The sequence below is a fragment of the Homo sapiens genome, chromosome 13 (genome assembly GCF_000001405.40).
Source record: "Homo sapiens chromosome 13, GRCh38.p14 Primary Assembly".
Lineage (NCBI taxonomy): Eukaryota > Metazoa > Chordata > Mammalia > Primates > Hominidae > Homo > Homo sapiens.
Window position 1 is genome coordinate 45,370,278 of NC_000013.11, and position 21,206 is coordinate 45,391,483.

General features: G+C 51.4%; 1 long non-coding RNA gene and 1 pseudogene across 1 annotated transcript in view, besides 3 other annotated features; one reads left to right on the plus strand and one right to left on the minus strand.

The window, feature by feature from the left end:
* TPT1-AS1 (TPT1 antisense RNA 1) overlaps window positions 1–21,206 on the plus strand; it is a 50,139-nt gene extending 28,933 nt beyond the window's left edge. Inside the window, exons 5-11 of the long non-coding RNA NR_024458.1 lie at window positions 6,784–6,938; window positions 8,253–8,394; window positions 8,918–9,058; window positions 9,649–9,724; window positions 12,814–12,958; window positions 19,458–19,543; window positions 20,755–21,206. This is a non-coding gene — a long non-coding RNA (TPT1 antisense RNA 1). The remainder of the gene's footprint in view (window positions 1–6,783; window positions 6,939–8,252; window positions 8,395–8,917; window positions 9,059–9,648; window positions 9,725–12,813; window positions 12,959–19,457; window positions 19,544–20,754) is intronic.
* Window positions 252–752: an enhancer, noted in NCBI's record as "NANOG-H3K4me1 hESC enhancer chr13:45944664-45945164 (GRCh37/hg19 assembly coordinates)". NCBI's record gives its function as "activates a minimal SCP1, AML or CMV promoter by ChIP-STARR-seq in naive H9 embryonic stem cells {active_cell/tissue: H9 hESC(naive)}" and the evidence as "EXISTENCE:reporter gene assay evidence [ECO:0000049][PMID:30033119]".
* Window positions 753–1,253: an enhancer, noted in NCBI's record as "NANOG-H3K4me1 hESC enhancer chr13:45945165-45945665 (GRCh37/hg19 assembly coordinates)". NCBI's record gives its function as "activates a minimal SCP1, AML or CMV promoter by ChIP-STARR-seq in naive H9 embryonic stem cells {active_cell/tissue: H9 hESC(naive)}" and the evidence as "EXISTENCE:reporter gene assay evidence [ECO:0000049][PMID:30033119]".
* Window positions 15,657–15,951: an enhancer, noted in NCBI's record as "tiled region #12652; HepG2 Activating non-DNase unmatched - State 6:EnhF, and K562 Activating DNase matched - State 6:EnhF". NCBI's record gives its function as "activates a minimal TATA promoter and a strong SV40 promoter by Sharpr-MPRA in HepG2 and K562 cells {active_cell/tissue: HepG2 | K562}" and the evidence as "EXISTENCE:reporter gene assay evidence [ECO:0000049][PMID:27701403]".
* On the minus strand, window positions 19,017–21,149 carry RCN1P2 (reticulocalbin 1 pseudogene 2; annotated as a pseudogene).

Consider the following 21,206-nt stretch of genomic DNA (forward strand, 5'->3'; position numbering starts at 1 on the left):
GTGCATGGTATTTACTAAGCATGAAATAAATAGTTGTTGGGGGGAAAAAGAATGAGTAAACGAATAAATGAAGTGTGGGAAACTCCTGAGGATGCAACTCTCTACCTAGCGGTGGCCAAAGCTACTGGATAAACCATGTATGTACCCATCTTTTTAACCTATGTGTGTTTTGCTAGAATGGAGTGTTCTAATTAGAAGTAAAAATTTGTTTGTTCTTTAATAGAATTTAATTTTTTTTTTTGAGCCAGTCTGATTCTGTTGCCCAGGCTGGAGTGCAATGGCACGATCTCGGCTCGCTGCAACCTCTGCCTCCCAGGTTCAAGCGATTCTCCTGCCTCAGCCTCCCGAGTAGCTGGGATTACAGGCACCTGACACCAGGCCCGGCTAATTTTTTGTATTTTTAGTAGAGACTGGGTTTTGCCCTGTTGCCCAGGCTGGTCTCAAACTCCTGACCTCAAGTGATCCACCCGCCTCGGTCTCCTAAAGTGCTGGGATTACAGGCGTGAGCCACCGCGCCCGGCCTTTTTTTTTTTTCTTCTTTTTTTAAAAATGTTTATCTGCAAGATCGAGACGGTATCTCACTATCTTGTTGGTTTCAAACTCTTGGGCTACAGGGATCCTCTCGCGTCGGCTTCCCAAAGTGCTGGGATTACGGGCGTGAGCCACCGCGCCCGGCCTATTAATAAAATCGGATGACCTTGCACTTTCTCAGTCAGCGAGTATTATTTACTACTCACCTCCACTTAGCAGTAGGGAGCTGTATTGCAAAGGGGGCTGATGAGCGCGGCTTGACGCCCCTACACACCCCGCCAAGGGGGTTGCTGCAGTTACGGTTTCGCCGAATGTCCGGCAGAGGGCGCTGCGAACACGCCGCTCCAGCCGCCGGGCAGGGGAGAGCGGAATGATATTCCCAATGACCGCAGTCAGAACCATCAGCGCATTCCTAGGACGCTTTCCAGCTGCTGGGTGGCTTCATACCCCGGTAAAGTGAATGGTTTCCAAGTTCCCGCTGAGTACTGGGATCTGGAGAGCTTTTGAAAAACACGGATTTCTGGGCGGCACTCTCAAAGATTCTGGTTCCATGGGAATTGGGCGGGCCCTGGACCCTCTTGAAGATGTTTCCTGTTGATTTTGATGATCAGGTTTGGGCCCCATTGGTGGGAACTCCCCAAGGCGACTAGGGAGCCGAAGGAGAGAGGAGGACACAAACCTGGTTTCCACTCCCAACCCTGTTGCTTTTTAGCTGCGCGATCCTTCTGTGTACTACCCCCCATGACAACTTGTAAAATGGAGCTAATGGTAAAGATAGGGCTAGGCCAGGCCCTGTGGCTCAGGCCTGTAACCCAGCATTTTGGGAGGCTGAGGTGGGAGGATCACCTGAGGCCAGGAATTCGAGACCAGCCTGGCCAACATGGTGAAACTCTGTCTCTACTAAAAATACAGAAATTAGCCAGGCATGTGGCATGCACCTGTAATCCCAGCTACTCGGGAGGCCAAGACACGAGAATAGCTTGAGCCTGGGAGGCAGAGGCTGCAGGGCTAGATCCCGTCTCAAAAAAAAAAAAAAAAAAAAGAAAAGAAAGAAAGAAATTTTGGAATTATCACTTTGGCTAAATGAATGACCATCATTTTATAGTGGCCTGTGATCCTAGGGTCTTAGGCACAGGGGATACAGCAATGAGCAAACATGCATTCTGATGAAGAGATGCTGACAATCACAACCACACAAATAAGCAAGATAATTTCCCATAGAGATAAGAGCTTTGAGGAAGCCAGAATGCAGGAATGTGATAGAAAGTGGCTGGCAAGAGGGAGCTGAGGCTGGTGGGTCCAAGAAGTCCTCTCCAGGGAGATGACATTTGAGCAGTGATCTGGACAATGAAAAAGCGCTGACTGCACCTCCAGGTGAGAAGAACTTACTGGGCTGAGGAGAAAGCAAGCCATCAAAAACCCCAAGGAGGGAGTTTGGTGTGTTCAGAGAACTGGAAGGAGGGAACGCCATGAAAGAGAGGCCAGTAGCATGTGCGGGGCAGAGAGGGAGCCGGCTTCTTAGCCCGTGGAGAGAGAAAGCAGGAACTAAAGCCAGCACCAACGGGAAGGGCTGCATCTGGAGAGAGAGGGAGAGCAGCTGCAGGTTGGTCAAGCTGCTGTAAGGCCCTGCCCAGGCCATACGAACACAGGGAGCTACTTTCCCTGTCCTCGGGACAAATGTCACAGAGGCAGAGAGGTCTGAGGGATGGGGGGATATGGAAAATAGTTGCATAACTTTAAGAGATGGGTGCCATTTAACTCATTTCACACAGGAGGCACTAAGCCAGAGCACACTGAATGATGGCCCCCATCTCAATTTCCTTCCAGCCCTGCTCCTTGCTTTCCTGCATCCATGCCACGCGATTTCCTGAATCCATGCCCCTCGCTTTCCCGCATCCATGCTCCTCGTTTTCCCGCATCCATGCCCCTCGTTTTCCCGTATCCATGCCCCTCGTTTTCCCGTATCCATGCCCCCCGCTTTCCCGCACCCGTGCCCCTCCGCTTTCCCGCTCCATGCCCTTTGCTTTCCCTGTGAGTTCTCAGGGCTCTATTTCCATTGAAATTAAAACCCAGTTCCCTGTAGAGTAACTGTCTATCAGTAGTTCGTGCCTAGTTTCCTTCTCCTTTGTATTAAGTGACACCATCTGGCCTTCCCAGTCACCTTGGGCTCGTGTTTCCTTTGGATGGCTTCCCAAGGGGCAGAGGGCTCCTGAGCAGCATGTCTTGTGACACAACTTAATTAGGATTGTATTTCATTCTGCATTTTACAAACAGATGACTTCAGCTTTGGGTTCTAAAAGGAAGAAAAGCAGACCCTCTTCCCTTTGGGACTTAGTTGAGTGACCATTTCTCTTACACATCTTACTAGACACTGTATGGAAAAGAATCTGGACAGACTCATTCCCTTCATTCTTCTGTGTACATAAGCTCCTACTACGGTGTCAAGCCCTGGGGACTAGAATTCTGTCTTTAAACTTCAGGAAGTCACAGTAGAATCACAATGTCAGACACAGTCTACGAAACGCTTCGTATATGTTACCTCATTTGATCTTTGTAATCAACCCATGAGGCAGGTGGGGTGTGGCGGGTATGATAGTCTCCTTCTATGTTGCTGGCTTAGAGAAGGTCAGTGACTTGTTTAAGGTCACACTGCTGGTTCCTGGAAGAACTGGGCCTAACACAGGCCTGTTGGCTCTGTTTTCATCCCTCTGGAATCTTAATCCTTAGCACTTCAGAGTGGTGGAATTCAAGATTGGGCCACTTAGCAAACTGGTCCCTTAATTTATTAAATTGTATTGACATGTGAGCTGCATGACCACTGCTTGGACGGGGCTTCTCAGGTAGACAAGTTCTGTTTTCATAGCGAGAGAATGAACTTCCTGGGAGGCTGGAAGAAAGTGAGGGAGGTGAATGATGAGCAATCAGCTGGTCTACTCATAATATCCTCAACAGGGACCACTTCCAGTGGTAGCCAGGTAACCTATCAGAATGACCTCCTGTAGATAACAACTCTAAACTCTGGAGTGCAGAAAAATTACCTGAAGTCACTAAGGGAGATCAAAAGCCAGAATCTCAGAAAGGAGTCAATACTTGAAGGAAGGGAATGGCACTGGGTGAGTTTCCTGTATTTTTTTTTTTTTTTTTTTTTTTTTTGATACAGTGTCTCACTTTGTTTCCCAGGCTGGAGTGCAGTGGTGCCATCTCAGCTCACTGCAACCTCCGCATCCCGGGTTCAAGTGATTCTTCTGCCTCAGCCTCCTAAGTAGCTGGGATTGCAGACACCTGCCACCATGCCTGGCTAATTTTTGTATTTTTAGTAGAGACAGGGTTTCGCCATGTTGGCCAGGCTGGTCTCGAACTCATGACCTCAGGAGGTCTGCCTGCCTCGGCCTCCCAAAGTGCTGGGATTACAGGCGTAAGCCACCACGCCCAGCCCAGACATTTATTTCTTACTGGAAAATTGAGGATCAAGGTGCAGCAGACATGGTTTCTGGGGAGGATGCTCTCTGCTTGTCTTGCAGATGGCACCTTCTTGCTATGTCCTCACATTGCAGAGAGAGAAAGAGAAAGAGGTGGGGGGAGGGCGGGGAAGGGAGAGAGAGAACTCTGGTCTCTCTTCCTCTTGGTATAAAGCCACTAATCCCATCATGAGGACCCCACTCTCTTGACCTTATCCTTAATCACTTCCCAAAGCCCCCCGCCCTGCAACTCCAAATACCATCATACTGGGGATTAGGGCTTCGACCTACACATTTTTATTACTACGTGTTATGAACTGAACACAATTCAGTCCATAGCAGGTAGTAATAAAAAATACAAGTGGTGCTCTTCACTTGTGGCAGCTGAAGAACCTAAATTCTCGTGCCTGAAGCCTCCTTTCTGCTTCTCTGGCCATGTGGTCCTCGCGACCAGGGGTGCACGCTGGGCCCAGATTGTCCCCCACAGGTCAGGAATTTACTTGAAAGGAACGCTGCAGGCCAGTGAAGAGCTGGCAAAAATTGTCATGGAGAAGCAATGATCCAAAGACAGCTTTGGGACCCGCTGGCTCAGGAAGACTGGCTAGATGTGGGCCACATGTGCCCAGAAGGTGGGAGATGTGTGTGCTGCTCATTGTGTGTACCTTCTTGTTACTTCTGTCAGAGCTGAACTTGAAATTGCCATCTCATTTTTGGAGACCTACAGTTGAATATTTGCATATCTCTGGAATGGTGTCTTAGTCTGTTTTGTGCTACTATAACAGAAGACCACAGACTGAGTCATTTATAAGAGCAGAAAATTTATTTGGCTCATGGAGCAGCCTAGAACCCTACTATTAGGTCTGAGTCAGTCAGATGGAAAGAAGGCGAAGTAGAAGCATCGAGGTCGAATCAGTCACACATGGACTTCCCTAGTGGACTCATTGAAAACCAGACCTTCTGAGCCACCCTTGGTAGGGGCTCTGGAAGTGGCTTCTGAAGAGACCCCATTCTGCACCTCCACCAAGGGCCTGGTGGGAGAAGTGTGCCCTGCAGTGCCCTCAGAAAGGCCCACTGAAACTGCAAACATTCCCTTTCTGCACTGCCATTTGGTTCATGAAGACATATGGCTGGGAGAAGTTGAGTATCCTATGTCACCTTTTAGTCCAACAATTTTATGGAGGCTTAGCATGGGCAGGCCTGGTGCCAGGTGATGAGGATGCACATGGGAGCAGATCTGGCCCTGCACATAGGAGCCCACATTTCTGGATAGTGGGGCGGAGGTGACACATGTCCACATAACTGCAGTGTACAGAGATAGCAAAACAGTAAGATACAGGATGATTGAAGGTCTGTCTGTAGCTCATCCAAATGATATGGTGACCAGTTCCCAAGAGGAATCTCTACACGTTTCCTGCTATTGAGCCTATGGAGCGTGATAAAAGAAATCTGGGCTGGGTGTGGTGGCTCACGCCTGTAATCCCACCACTTTGGGAGGCTGAGGTGGGTGGATCACCTGAGGTCAGGAATTCTAGACCAGCCTGGCCAACATGACAAAACCCCTTCTCTACTAAAAATACAAAAAATTAGCCAGGCATGGTGGCAGATGCCTGTAATCCCAGCTATTTGGGAGGCTGAGGCAGGTGCCATCCCAGCCAACATGGCACCATCCCAGCCAGCATGGTGCTATCCCAGAAAATATGGCACCATTCTAACCAACATGGCACCACCCCAGCCTCAGGTATTCCTTTATAGCAATACGAATGGACTAAGACACTGGCATAGCAATAACACTAATAAATATATATTGACTGAATGAAAGAACAAACATGTTATCTTTCTGAAAGAATATATTTTTTGGCCAGGCTTGGTGGCTCACGCCTGTAATCCCAGCACTTTGGGAGGCCGAGGCGGGTGGATCACGAGGTCAGGAGATCGAGACCATCCTGGCTAACATGGTGAAACCCCATCTCTACTAAAAACACACACAAAAAAAATTAGCCGGGCATGGTGGCAAGCATCTGTAGTCCCAGCTACTAGGGAAGCTGAGGCAGGAGAATGGTGTAAGCTTGCAGTGAGCAGAGATGGGCTTACTGCACTCCAGCCTGGGTGACAGAGCAAGACTCCGTCTCAAAAAAAGAAAAAGAAGAATGTATTTTTTACAACACAATCAAATCAATGCCTTAAAACTAGGCTGTCATCACATTTTTCCCCCCGTTTTACATACTTAAATTGGCTAAATCAAGAATAGGGGCTGGCTCTCAGTCCCTACCTCGTGGGGGGTGCCTCCCCTCCCTGCGATGGGGGTCCTAAGAGCCTGGGGCGGAAGAGGGGCTGGCTCTCAGCCACCACAAAATGGGGAGCCTTTATGTTCAGGTTTTGCCCAAGAGTCAGCTTATTTGCTTCTGGTACTAGCAGGGCAGTTGATGCCGTGGCCTTCAAACATGGGGGCCATCCTTTAGAAACCCTTTCTATTTGTTTAGACACGTAGGCCACCGGCCTCAGCCAGGGCCCCAGAGTTTCGGTTAAAATTCCAGCTGCCATCTTTTCTCTATCTGACGCATTCAATGGAAAAGGCTTTGTCAGATCTGGTAGCCCCGGGGCTGGGGCTGCCAGAAGTTTTTCCTTTAACTCATGAAAGACTTGCTGTTGTTGGGATCCCCATTCTAAAGGTTCCCGGTCCCCGCCCCCTTTGTGACCTCATACAAAGACTTGGCTAATACTGCAAAGTTTGGGATGCACAGTCTACAAAACCCCACAGCCCCTAAGAATTCCCTCACCTGCCTTCTGCCCTTAGGCTCCGGTAGATTGCAAATGACCTGCTTTCTTTCTGTTCCCGGGCGTTTGGACCCCTGTCTTGGACCGCTGTCGGATAGTAAATCCCAAGTAAGGTACCTGCCGTCGGCAGATTTGAGCTTTCTTCTTGGACACCTAATACCCAGAGTCCTCCAGGTGGGTCCTTAAGGTTCCTGGGATCCGCCATGGGGGTCCTAAGCCAGTGGGGGATGAGGGGCTGGCTCTCAGTCCCCGCCTTGCTGGGGGTGCCCCCCCCCCCTGCGATGGGGGCCCTAAGAGCCAGGGGGGTAAGAAGGGCTGGCTCTCAGTCCCCGCCTCGTGGGGGGTGCCTCTCCCTCCTGCGCTGGGGGCCCTGAGAGCCAGTGGGGGAGAGGGGCTGGCTCTCAGTCCCTGCCTTGTTGGGGGTGCCTCCCCCCCTGCGATGGGGGTCCTGAGAGCCAGGGGGGAAGAGGGGCTGGCTCTCAGTACCTGCCTCATTGGGGGTGCCTCCATGCCCTGCGATGGGTGACCTAAGAGCCAGGGGGGGAAGAGGGGCTGGCTCTCAGTCCCCACCTCGTGGGGGGTGCCTCCCCCTCTGCGATGGGGGTCCTAAGAGCCGGTGGCAGAATAGGGGCTGCCTCTGCGTCCCTGCCTCGTGGGGGGTGCCTCCGCCTCCTGGGATGGTGGTCCTAAGAGCCAGAGGGGGAAGAGGGGCTGGCTCTCAGTCCCTGCCTCGTGGGGGGTGCCTCCCCCCCCTGCGATGGGGGTCCTGAGAGCCGGGGAGGATGAGGGGCTGGCTCTCAGTCCCCGCCTCGTGGGGGGTGCCTCCCCCCCTGCGATGGGGGCCCTGAGAGCCAGGGGGGAAGAGGGGCTGGCTCTCAGTCCCTGCCTCGTTGGGGGTGCCTCCCCCCCTGCGATGGGGGTCCTAAGAGCCTGGGGCGGAAGAGGGGCTGGCTCTCAGTCCGTGCCTGGCGGGGGGTGCCTCCCCCCCTGCGATGGGGGTCCCGAGAGCCAGCGGGGGAAAAGGGGCTGACTCTCAGCCACCACAACATGGGGGGCCTTTATGTTCAGGTTTTGCCCAAGAGTCAGCTGATTTGCTTCTTGTACTAGCAGGGCAGTTGCTGCCAAGGCCCTCAAACAGGGGAGCCATCCTTCAGAAACCCTGTCTAGTTGTTCAGAGACGTAGGCCACCGGCCTCAGCCAGGGCCCCACAGTTTGGGTTAAAAGTCCAGCTGCCATCTTTTCTGTCTATAACGCATACAATGGAAAAGGCTTTGTCAGATCGGGTATCCCCAGGGCTGGGGCTGCCAGACATTTTTCCTTTAACTCATGAAAGACTTGCTGTTATTGGGTTCCCCATTCCAAAGGTTCCGGTCCACGCCCCCTTTGTGACCTCATACAAAGGCTTGGCTAATACTGCAAAGTTTGGGATGAACAGTCTACAAAACCCCACAGCCCCTGAGAATTCCCTCACCTGCCTTCTGCCCTTAGGCTCCGGTAGATTGCAAATGACCTGCTTTCTTTCTGTTCCCGGGCGGCATCGGACCCGTCGGAGAGTAAATCCCAAGTAAGGTACCTGCCGTTGGCAGATTTGAGCTTTCTTCTTGGACACCTAATACCCACAGTCCTCCAGGTGAGTCCTAAGTATCTTAGGATCCGCGATGGGGGTCCTAAGGCAGGGGGGGAAGAGGGGATGGCTGTCACCCAACCCAAAATGGGCGGCCTTTATGTTCAGGTTTTGCCCAAGAGTCAGCTTATTTGCTTCTTGTACTATCAGGGCAGTTGATGCCACGGCCCTCAAACAGGGGGGCCATCCTTTAGAAACCCTCTCTAGTTGTTTAGAGACGTAGGACATTGGCCTCATCCAGGGCCCCAGAGTTTCGGTTAAAAGTCCAGCTGCCATCTTTTCTCTATCTGACGCGTTCAACGGAAAAGGCTTTGTCAGATCGGGTAGCCCCAGGGCTGGGGCTGCCAGAAGTTTTTCCTTTAACTCATGAAAGACTTGCTGTTGTTGGGATCCCTATTCCAAAGGTTCCCGGTCCCTGCCCCCTTTGTGACCTCATACAAAGACTTGGCTAATACTGCAAAGTTTGGGATGCACAGTCTACAAAACCCCACAGCCCCTGAGAATTCCCTCACCTGCCTTCTGCCCTTAGGCTCCGGTAGATTGCAAATGACCTGCTTTCTTTCTGTTCCCGGGTGGCATCGACCCGTCGGAGAGTAAATCCCAAGTAAGGTACCTGCCGTTGGCAGATTTGAGCTTTCTTCTTGGACACCTAATACCCACAGTCCTCCAGGTGAGTCCTAAGGATCTTAGGATACGCGATGGGGGTCCTAAGGCAGGGGGGGAAGAGGGGATGGCTGTCACCCAACCCAAAATGGGCGGCCTTTATGTTCAGGTTTTGCCCAAGAGTCAGCTTATTTGCTTCTTGTACTATCAGGGCAGTTGATGCCACGGCCCTCAAACATGAGGGGCCATCCTTTAGAAACCCTCTCTAGTTGTTTAGACAACTAGGCCACCGGCCTCAGCCAGGGCCCCAGAGTTTCGGTTAAAAGTCCAGCTGCCATCTTTTCTCTATCTGACGCATTCAATGGAAAAGGCTTTGTCAGATCGGGTAGCCCCAGGGCTGGGGCTGCCAGAAGTTTTTCCTTTAACTCCTGAAAGACTTTTTGTTCTTGGGATCCCCATTCCAAAGGTTCCGTTCCCCGCCCCCTTTGTGACCTCATACAAAGGCTTGGCTAATACTGCAAAGTTTGGGATCCAGTCTACAAAACCCCACAGCTCCCAAGAATTCCCTTACCTGCCTTCTGCCCTTAGGCTCCGGTAGATTGTAAATAACCTGCTTTCTTTCTGTTCCCGGGCTGCGTTCGGACCCCTGTCGGATAGTAAATCCCAAGCAAGGTACCTGCCGTCAGCAGATTTGAGCTTTCTTCTTGGACACCTAATACCCACAGTCCTCCAGGTGGGTCCTAAGGTTCTTAGGATCCTTGATGGAGGTCCTAAGCTGTGGGGGACGGGGGGCTGGCTCTCAGTCCCCGCCTCGTGGGGGGTGCCTCCCCCCCCTGCGATGGGGGCCCTGAGAGCCAGGGGGGAAGAGGGGCTGGCTCTCAGTCCCTGCCTCGTTGGGGGTGCCTCCCCCGCTGCGATGGGTGTCCTAAGAGCCAGGGGGGAAGAGGGGCTGGCTCTCAGTCCCAGCCTCGTGGGGGGTGCCTCCCCCCCTGCGATGGGGGTCCTAAGAGCCGGTGGCGGAAGAGGGGCTGCCTCTGAGTCCCTGCCTCGTGGGGGGTGCCTCCCCCCCCTGCGATGGGGGTCCTGAGAGCCGGGGAGGATGAGGGGCTGGCTCTCAGTCCCCGCCTCGTGGGGGTGCCTCCCCCCCTGCGATGGGGGCCCTGAGAGCCAGGGGGGAAGAGGGGCTGGCTCTCAGTCCCTGCCTCGTTGGGGGTGCCTCCCCCCCTGCGATGGGGGTCCTAAGAGCCTGGGGCGGAAGAGGGGCTGGCTCTCAGTCCGTGCCTGGCGGGGGGTGCCTCCCCCCCTGCGATGGGGGTCCCGAGAGCCAGCGGGGGAAAAGGGGCTGACTCTCAGCCACCACAACATGGGGGGCCTTTATGTTCAGGTTTTGCCCAAGAGTCAGCTGATTTGCTTCTTGTACTAGCAGGGCAGTTGCTGCCAAGGCCCTCAAACAGGGGAGCCATCCTTCAGAAACCCTGTCTAGTTGTTCAGAGACGTAGGCCACCGGCCTCAGCCAGGGCCCCACAGTTTGGGTTAAAAGTCCAGCTGCCATCTTTTCTCTCTCTAACGCATACAATGGAAAAGGCTTTGCCAGATCGGGTAGCCCCGGGGCTGGGGCTGCCAGAAGTTTTTCCTTTAACTCCTGAAAGACTTTCTGTTCTTGGGATCCCCATTCCAAAGGTTCCGGTCCCCGCCCCCTTTGTGACCTCATACAAAGGCTTGGCTAATACTGCAAAGTTTGGGATCCACAGTCTATAAAACCCCACAGCTCCCAAGAATTCCCTTACCTGCCTTCTGCCCTTAGGCTCCGGTAGATTGTAAATAACCTGCTTTCTTTCTGTTCCCGGGCTGCGTTCGGACCCCTGTCGGATAGTAAATCCCAAGCAAGGTACCTGCCGTCAGCAGATTTGAGCTTTCTTCTTGGACACCTAATACCCACAGTCCTCCAAGTGGGTCCTAAGGTTCTTAGGATCCTTGATGGGGGTCCTAAGCTGTGGGGGACGGGGGGCTGGCTCTCAGTCCCTGCCTCCCGGGGGGTGCCTCCCCCCCTGCGATGGGGGCCCTGAGAGCCAGGGGGCAAGAGGGGCTGGCTCTCAGTCCCTGCCTCGTTGGGGGTGTCTCCCCGCCTTCGATTGGTGTCCTAAGAGCCAGGGGGAGAAGAGGGGCTGGCTCTCAATCCCTGCATCGTTAGGGGTGCCTTCCCCCCTGCGATTGGTGTCCTAAGAGCCAGGGGGGGAAGAGGGGCTGGCTCTCAGTCCCCGCCTCGTAGGGGGTGCCTCCCCCCCTGAGATGGGGGTCCTAAGAGCCGGGGGCGGAAGAGGGGCTGCCTCTGAGTCCCTGCCTCGTGGGGGGTGCCTCCCCCTCCCCTCCTGCGATGGTGGTCCTAAGAGCCAGAGGGGGAAGAGGGGCTGGCTCTCAGTCCCTGCCTCACGGGGGGTGCCTCCCCCCCCCTGCGATGGTGGTCCTAAGAGCCAGAGGGGGAAGAGGGGCTGGCTCTCAGTCCCCGCCTCGTGGGGGGTGCCTCCCCCCCTGCGATGGGGGTCCTGAGAGCCAGGGGGGAAGAGGGGCTGGCTCTCAGTCCCTGCCTCGTTGGGGGTGCCTCCCCCCCCTGCGATTGTTGTCCTAAGAGCCAGGGGGAGAAGAGGGGCTGGCTCTCAGTCCCCGCCTCGTGGGGGGTGCCTCCCCCGCTGCGATGGGGGTCCTAAGAGCCGGGGGCGGAACAGGGGCTGCCTCTGAGTCCCTGCCTCGTGGGGGGTGCCTCCCCCTCCTGCGATGGTGGTCCTAAGAGCCAGAGGGGGAAGAGGGGCTGGCTCTCAGTCCCTGCCTCGTGGGGGGTGCCTCCCTCCCCTGCGATGGGGGTCCTGAGAGCCGGGGGGGATGAGGGGCTGGCTCTCAGTCCCCGCCTCGCGGGGGGTGCCTCCCCCCCTGTGATGGGGGCCCTGAGAGCCAGGGGGGAAGAGGGGCTGGCTCTCAGTCCCTGCCTCGTTGGGGGTGTCTCCCCCCCTGCGATGGGTGTCCTAAGAGCCAGAGGGGGAAGTGGGGCTGGCTCTCAGTCCCCGCCTCGTGGGGGGTGCCTCCCCCTCTGCGATGGGGGTCCTAAGAGCCGGGGGCGGAAGAGGGGCTGCCTCTGAGTCCCTGCCTCGTGGGGGGTGCCTCCCCCTCCTGCGATGGTGGTCCTAAGAGCCAGAGGGGGAAGAGGGGCTGGCTCTGAGTCTCCGCCTCGCGGGGGTTGCCTCCCCCCCTGCGATGGGGGTCCTAAGAGCCTGGGGCGGAAGAGAGGCTGGCTCTCAGTCCGTGCCTCGCAGAGGGTGTCATCGCCCCTGCGATGGGGGTCCCAAGAGCCAGCGGGGGAAAAGGGGCTGACTCTCAGCCACCACAAAATGGGGAGCCTTTATGTTCAGGTTTTGCCCAAGAGTCAGCTTATTTGCTTCTTGTACTAGCAGGGCAGTTGCTGCCAAGGCCCTCAAACAGGGGAGCCATCCTTCAGAAACCCTGTCTAGTTGTTCAGAGACGTAGGCCACCGGCCTCAGCCAGGGCCCCACAGTTTGGGTTAAAAGTCCAGCTGCCATCTTTTCTCTCTCTAACGCATACAATGGAAAAGCCTTTGCCAGATCGGGTAGCCCCAGGGCTGGGGCTGCCAGAAGTTTTTCCTTTAACTCCTGAAAGACTTTCTGTTCTTGGGATCCCCATTCCAAAGGTTCCCGGTCCCCGCCCCCTTTGTGACCTCATACAAAGGCTTGGCTAACACTGCAAAGTTTGGGATGCACAGTCTATAAAACCCCACAGCCCCTGAGAATTCCCTCACCTGCCTTCTGCCCTTAGGCTCCGGTAGATTGCAAATGACCTGCTTTCTTTCTGTTCCCGGGCTGCGTTCGGACCCCTGTCGGATAGTAACTCCCAAGTAAGGTACCTGCCGTCGGCAGATTGGAGCTTTCTTCTTGGAGACCTAATACCCACAGTCCTCCAGGTGGGTCCTAAGGATCTTAGGATCCGCGATGGGGGTCCTAAGGCAGGGGGGGAAGAGGGGTTGGCTGTCATCCAACCCAAAATGGGCGGCCTTTATGTTCAGGTTTTGCCCAAGAGTCAGCTTATTTGCTTCTTGTACTATCAGGGCAGTTGATGCCACGGCCCTCAAACATGAGGGGCCATCCTTTAGAAACCCTCTCTAGTTGTTTAGAGACGTAGGCCACCGGCCTCATCCAGGGCCCCAGAGTTTCGGTTAAAAGTCCAGCTGCCATCTTTTCTCTATCTGACGCATTCAATGGAAAAGGCTTTGTCAGATCGGGTAGCCCCAGGGCTGGGGCTGCCAGAAGTTTTTCCTTTAACTCATGAAAGACTTGCTGTTGTTGGGATCCCCATTCCAAAGGTTCCCGGTCCCCGTCCCCTTTGTGACCTCATACAAAGGCTTGGCTAATACTGCAAAGTTTGGGATGCACAGTCTACAAAACCCCACAGCCCCTAAGAATTCCCTCACCTGCCTTCTGCCCTTAGGCTCCGGTAGATTGCAAATGACCTGCTTTCTTTCTGTTCCCGGGCTGCGTTCGGACCCCTGTCGGAGAGTAAATCCGAAGTAAGGTAGCTGCCGTCGGCAGATTTGAGCTTTTTTCTTGGACACCTAATACCCACAGTCCTCCAGATGGGTCCTAAGGTTCTTAGGATCCGCAATGGGGGTCCTAAGCCAGGGGGTGATGAGGGGCTGGCTCTCAGTCCCTGCCTCGTGGGGGGTGCCTCCCCCTCCTGCGATGGTGGTCCTAAGAGCCAGAGGGGGAAGAGGGGTGCACACCCAGTTCATGATCAGGTCCCAAAATCAAATGTCCAGTTTTTAGCTAGGACCCAGTAAGAAGAGCTATTTTTCAAAGAGAGAAAAGTTATTTGCAAAAGATAACATGGATTTGCTGCAAACCGCCAGGGGTCTGCACTGTGATTCTCCTTTCAGGGCTGGTTGAAGGCTCCATACAGTATCTCTATCTGCCTTGGACACTTCAGGCATATGTGCCATATATGACAGAACATCTTGCACAACAGTCTGAATTTGCTGCAACCCTTCTCTTGCTCTGGGCCCCACTCAAAACCGGCAGACTTACAAATTCCTTCGTAAATGGGCCAGGGCAGCATGGTAAAATGTGCTGTATATTACCTCCTAAAACACCCGTCAAGTATTTTTTTTTAACTCTTTCCTAGCATAGGAGTACATGATGCAGCAATTTGTTTTCATTTGAAGGAGATAACCAACATGCCTCAGGCCACTGAACTCCTAGAAATGTCACATGCTCAACATATTATCCATATAATGGACTAGTTCTGCATTTTATGGGATGTTGTGATTATCAAGACCCCTGAAGCCTTGCTTATGACAGAACAGGAGAGTTGCCATAGACCTGAGCTCAAATCGTGAAGATGTACTGCTGTCCCTGCCATGTGAAAGCAAACACCTTCCAAAAGTGCCTGTAACCAATACAGCAGGAAAAAAAGTATATTTTACATAAATAGCTGCATCCCACATGTCAAAAGCCATTTTGATTTACTCTAGTAAGAATAACATATTTGAAACAGCAGCAGCAATCAATTAAATATTGATAATAAGCAATGGAGAGATAACAGGAAATCACGTAGAATATATCATTGTTTGCCAAATATTCTGGCTCCTTTCCTACTGAGGAATCATACTTCCTTAACTGCAGTCTTGTCCACGTGACTTGCAAATGAAATGTGAACAAAAGTGACATGCGTCACCTTTAGACAGAAGATCTAAGAGCTGATGTGTGCTTTGTTATGATGTATTTTCCCTCTGCCATAAGACTAAGCAATGTTCCAAACAGAGGCTGATCCACAGCCTCCATCTGGAGTGAAGATAAAATGGAAAAGAGCTTCAGTCAAGCTGCAGTGGACACATAGCAAGAATAAGAAGTTAACTTTTGTTGGCCAGGCGTGGTGGCTCACGCCTGCAATCCCAACACTTTGGGAGGCCAAGGCGGGAGGATCACTTGAGGTCAGGAGTTCGAGACCAGCCTGGCCAACATGGTAAAACACTGTCTCTACTAAAAATACAAAAATTAGCCAGGTGTGGTGGGGGGCACCTGTAATCCCAGCTATTCAGGAGGCCAAGGCTGGAGAATCGCTTTTACTTGGGAGTCGGAGGTTGCAGTGAGCCGAGATCATGCCACTGCACCCCAGCCTGGGCAACAGAGCGACACTTTTGTTGTCTGCCACTGGGATTTTTGATGACACTACCAAAGCCTAAAATAGCCTGACCCAACATATACAGTCTCAGAGATTAGCAACAGTTGAGAGTCAGTGTTCAGCGATCCTGAAACAGTCCCAAGTATTTTCCTCTCCCATGACAATGGCCATGGGTCTCTTAGGGCTTGAAGAATGATTTTTAGTATATATTGCAGCAATGTCAGTGGGCTCCAGGTCTGCAAAATTGTTCAGCTCCCAGAACTGGGGGAAGGGCCATGACTATTATGGTGATCCAAATTAGAATTCTACTTACCTGATAATTTCTAATTATGTAGATCAACATATATTTTAGTAGGCTATTTTATTCCTAGAGATACTACCAAAGACCCTCACAAGTCAAAAACATTCATTTTACCACTGTGGCCCTGCTGCCCATGAAAGTAACTGTGCCCACTGTGTCTCTGGTGTTAAACACTGTCACTTGGTCTCTGAAATAAGGAAGGCAATTTAAAGAGTAGCATTTCTTATTGTCACCCCCAGCAGGCAGAGGATACCCGCTACAAAGCTCCTAAAGGGAAATGGAGCTCTCCTCCGCACATTTTTTTTTTGTAAGAGAAGGTCTTACTCTGTCACGCAGGCTGGAGTGCACTGTCATGATGACAGCTCACTGTGGCCTTGACCTCCTGGGCTCAAGCCATCCTTCCACTTCAACCTCCTGAGTAGCTGGGACTAGAGGCATGCACCACCATGCCTGGCTAATTTTTTAATTTTTTATAGAGATGGGGTCTCCCTACATTGCCCAGGCTGGTCTCAAACTCTTAGGCTCAAGTGATACTCTCGCCTTGGCCTCCCAAAGTGCTGGGATTACAGGCCTGAGCCACCACACCCAGCCTGCACATTTCTTAAAACCTCATTAAAGGGAGTGTCCTCTGGGCCCTGAGGGACACAGTCAAGGGATGAATTTTTTTTATAATCTTAGTGTGAAGGTCCACATATGATGCAAAATAACAATGGCTGCATGAACGTGATCCCAACTTGTTCCCACAAGGGTCAGGTGGCTAACTTCATAGGATATTCTACCTGGCTCTGTCTGCCCTCCTACCTAGTGGTGAACAGAGTGCTGGCAAATGTTTAACAACCAGATCTCCAGAGCAAAAACAAAACAAAGGCCTGATTTGTAGCATCTGTCAGTATCTGCAGTATAAGCACTCCCATTGTGTCCAGAATTTATTTCTTCTGGTGGATTCTTGGTCTCACTGACTTCAAGAATGAAGCCAGCCGGGCGCGGTGGCTCACGCCTGTAATCCCAGCACTTTGGGAGGCTGAGGCGGGTGGATCACGAGGTCAGAAGATCGAGACCATCCTGGCTAACACGGTGAAACCCCGTCTCTACTAAAAATACAAAAAATTAGCTGGGCGCCTGTAGTCCCAGCTACTAGGGAGGCTGAGGCAGGAGAATGGCGTGAATCCGGGAGGCGGAGGTTGCAGTGAGCTGAGATCAGGCCACTGCATTCCAGCCTGGGCAACAGAGCAAGACTCCATCTCAAAGAAAAAAAGAATAAAGCCACGGACCTCGCAGTGAGTGTTACAGTTCTTAAAGGTGGCGTGTCTGCAGTCGTTTGTTCCTCTCTGTGGGTTGGTGGTCTGGCTGACTAAGGAAATGAAGCCGCAGGCCCTGGCAGTGAATGCTACAGCTCTTCAAGTTGGTGCGGACCGAAAGACTGAGCAGCAGCAAGATTTATTAATTAAGAGCGAAAGAACAAAGATCTCCGGGCGTTGAAGTGGACCCTAGCGGGTTGCTGCTGCTGGCTCAGGTGGCCAGCTTTTATTCCCTTATTTGGCCCCCATCCATGTCCTGCTGATTGGTCCATTTTACAGTGTGCTGATTGGTCCATTTTACAGAGTGCTGACTGGTCCATTTTTACAGAATGCTGATTGGCGCATTTACAATCCTCTAGCTAGACATAGAGCGCTGATTGGTGCATTTACAATCCTCTAGCTAGACAGAAAGTTCTCCAAGTCCCCACCCAACCCAGAAGCCCAGTTGGCTTCACCTCTCACCATCATGGCCAATATCAAGCTATCAACAATGTCAACGTGCAGCTGGGAAGATGTGCAATAGCACATTTTACAGTATTTCTACCAGACAGATACAACAGACAGAAATAACCTCAAGAGCACAGACACTAGTGAATAATTAGGAAGTGGTGAAGTTTATTTGCCTTTGTCTTTAATATAATCTATTTAACTATGTTTATATAACTTAATTGTTAATAATGTCTGTAATAACCGGCCCACAAATTTCCTGAAAGTGTGACAATCTGCTCTCATACGCTGCTGGACCAGTTCCAGCACGCCACTGTTCCTGCCCCAGTTGTGGGATCTGCTCTAACCTCCAGCTGCCCCACGCCTCAGCATACAGTCACAGCGAAGGCATGGTGGGCAAACTTCTGAGTTACATGGCCACAGCGGTTTTTTGTTTGCTTGTTTGTTTTTGTATGTTTGTTTGTTTAGAGACAGTTTGCTCTGTCCCCCAGGCTGGAGTGCAGTGGCGTAATCGTGGCTCACTGCAGCCTCAAACTCCTGGGATCAAGAGATCTTCCCACCTCAGCTTCCCAAGGGGCTGGGACTACAGGCACATACCAACACACCCAGTTAATGTTTTTAATTTTTTTTTAAGACAGAGTCTCACTCTGTCGCCCAGGCTGGAGTGCAGTGGCACGATCTCTGCTCACTGCAAGCTCCGCCTCCCAGGTTCATGCCATTCTCCTGCCTCAGCCTCCCAGCTAGCTGGGACTACAGGTGCCCATCACCACGCCTGGCTAATTTTTTGTATTTTTAGTAGAGACGGGGATTCACCATGTTAGCTAGAATAGTCACGATCTCCTGACCTCATGATCCGCCCGCCTCGGCCTCCCAAAGTGCTGGGATTACAGGCGTGAGCCACCGTGCCCAGCCAATTTTTTAAAATTTTTTGAGGCCAGGAACAGCAGCTCCTGCCTGTAATCCCAGCACTTTGGGAGGCCGAAGCAGGAGGATCTCCTGAGCCTAGGAGTTCAAGACCTGCCTGGGCGATATAGGGAGACCCCATTTCTACAAAAAATTTAAAAATTAGCAGGGTGTGGTGGTGCGTGCCTGTAGTCCCAGCTACTCGGGAGGCTGGGGTGGGAGGATTACCTGAACTGGGAGGTGAAGGTTTCAGTGAGCTGAGATCACACCACTGCACTCCAATCTAGGTGAGAGACCTTGCTTCAAAAAAAAAATTGAGCTCCTGGGCTCAAGCAATCCTCCTGCCTTGGCCTCCCAAAGCACTGGGACTTTTACAGGCACCACCAGTTATTACAGAACTCAAAAGCAACTGTGCACTGGACCACTCTGTATTGTGTTCGGTGAGGCCATGCCCGCGTATAGATACAGGAATGCTGAGGAACAGCACTGAAGAGTGACCTAAACAGCAATCACCAACTGCTGGTGTTTGGCTTTGTTCCTCATATGAAAGGATTTGAAGCCCAGGGAGTAGGCTGGTTGAATGAAAAATATTTGCTTGACACGATAGTTGCTATTTCTAGATGAATTCAGGGAACTATGGGAGCCTCTCACAAGCATGAAAAATCCAAGTATTCAGATGGAAGTTGGGGCTCTTATTTTCCAGCTTGGGCCTGTACCAGGGCTACAAGGACATACAATGCTAAATCAATTAAAAACCAAAATCTACTCAAAACCATTTATTTCAAAAAAGTTCTGGAGATGGATGGTGGCGATGGTTACACAGCAATGTGAATGTGCTTAATGTCACTGAACTGTACGCTTAAAAATGGTTAGGATGGTAAAGTTTTTTTTTTTTTTCCTTAGGGGGATCCTTTATTTCATTCACTTCCTCCTTACAAGGTGAAATTTCAATCTGTACAGGTTGTGTCTGCCAGTTCAGTCCACAGCTCAGAGTATCACCTTGTCCTCATTCCATGGTATAAGCTGTTGTGGGGGGACAGGTCTGAGGGTCGTGGATTCACTGGACTGGATGGGACATGATCCAGAACTCCACTCCGTTTGGCTTCCCAAGGATCCCACCACCTCATTCTAATCAGTGATCATTGAGGAAATGCATTGTATTCCTATTCACTATTTCAAAGATCAGGCCTACCTCATTGGCATATTAAGAAAGTTTTCTCAAGTATATTTAGTGTTTATCATTTTACTATAGTTCTTCAAATGTCTGACATTCATCCTTTCCCTACCTCTACATTCCTTTCTTTTTCACATTATCTTTCTTGATTGCTTTTTAATAGAAAAACAAACAAAGACATGGATTTACTGTGCATATTAGCAGATCCATACTGGAAAATGCATGGAGGTTTCATATACACCACTTACAGTAAGTAATAACTCAGAGTATAAAGTCGAAAAGAAAGAATCTGAAATATTAGACTTGTTCTGAAATAAGCTTACCTAGGATGATACCACTTTCACTTAATCAGGATTTCCCAACTATTTAACAGTGGCAAATATAAAAAATCTGGTAGTTAAAATACACAGCAGTCACTTCATATTACTGCCTCCCTCAACCCACTCAACTTCTGAAGAACAGGGCTTTTTCAAGTTTTGTTCCCCTTTAAGTTTTAATAGAAAAAAAAAAAAAGTTTTAAGTCATGTTGTACCAATATATCCCCAGCAAGAATTGCAATTTACCAAGGTTTTCACGTGTTTTGAGAGAAATCTTACTGAAAGACTAGTGATGTCCATTTTCCAGTAAATACTGAGCGAAAAACAATTTTTATACCCCAATCTGAGGTATAAACTTGCTTTTTGTGGGATCACAACTGCTGTAAATTAGACAGTTGTAGCAACAATCCAAGACAATAACAGAATGCCTATGACAGTCTGCCATATTCTGGTGAGTGTCTATCAAAGCTCATCATGATTTTTTGTGAGATCTTCCCCGTAATTGGTAGCTTGGCTTCCAACAAACATGTTCCAGTTCTCCAATATTTCCTCTTTAGTTAGCTTCTCATCCTTGTTTTTGTCTGACTCATATACCAGATGCCTGGCCTCAGCCTGTGCATGATCATAATCTTGAGGGAGGATCCAGTGGCGAATCTCATCTTTGTCTAACTTCCCGTCCTTGTTCAGATCCCGGAATTCGTTAAACTGCTCCCGTTCTGATAAAACCCAGTCTGGCTCAGGGCCATTCTCCTCATGGGAAAACATATCCGCAATATACTCATCCTGATCCACAAACCCATCCCCGTTCTTGTCGATGTCCTCCAGGGTTTCCAAAGCCACAATTTCCTTCATATGTTCAAACTCTTCAGGATGCAGAAAGGCAGTGAACTCCTCCGGAGTAGCTGTCAGGTCACCATTGAGGTCTGCAGCTTTGAATCTTCTCTCATCACGTGGCAGCATCTTTTTAAAGGTGTGATGATCTGAAGAATCATGAAACTCTGCGGGGTTTCCTAGGTATAGTAACCATAGGTGGCTTGTTTGTATTCTTCCCAGGAAATGTTATCATCCTTGTCCCTATCATAATCCTTCCAGACTTTGGCGACATTATCAAAGATGTATCTTTTCTGCACCCGTTTGATCCAGGTTTTCAGCTCCTCAGTAGTGACAAAGCCATACCCATCATTGTCGATTCGATCAACAATCTTCCCTAGCCTCTCCTTGCTCTCGTCCGGGGTGAGCTCGTCGAAGTTCTTGGAGTCCTCCTTGCCCAGGAAGGCCTCGTGGTCGTACTGGAAGCTCTGGTTGTCCTCAGGGGGCCGCTCGCCCAGCTCCGAGTCGGGCCGCACCACGCGCTCTTTGCGCACCGTGGGCTTGGCCCGCAGAACCCGCGGCGCCAGCACCAGCGCCAGCAGCAGCCCCAGGGCTAACCCCAGGCGGCCACCGCGCGCCATCGTCCCGAGGAGAGGGCGGCCGGGAGGGAGACGCTGAGCGAGCGACAACAGCGGCAGCTCGGGAATGGGGGCTCGGAGCGCGGCGGCCAAGTTTTATGTTATGTATATTTTACAAGTAAAAAAATTTTTTCACCTCAGCCTGAA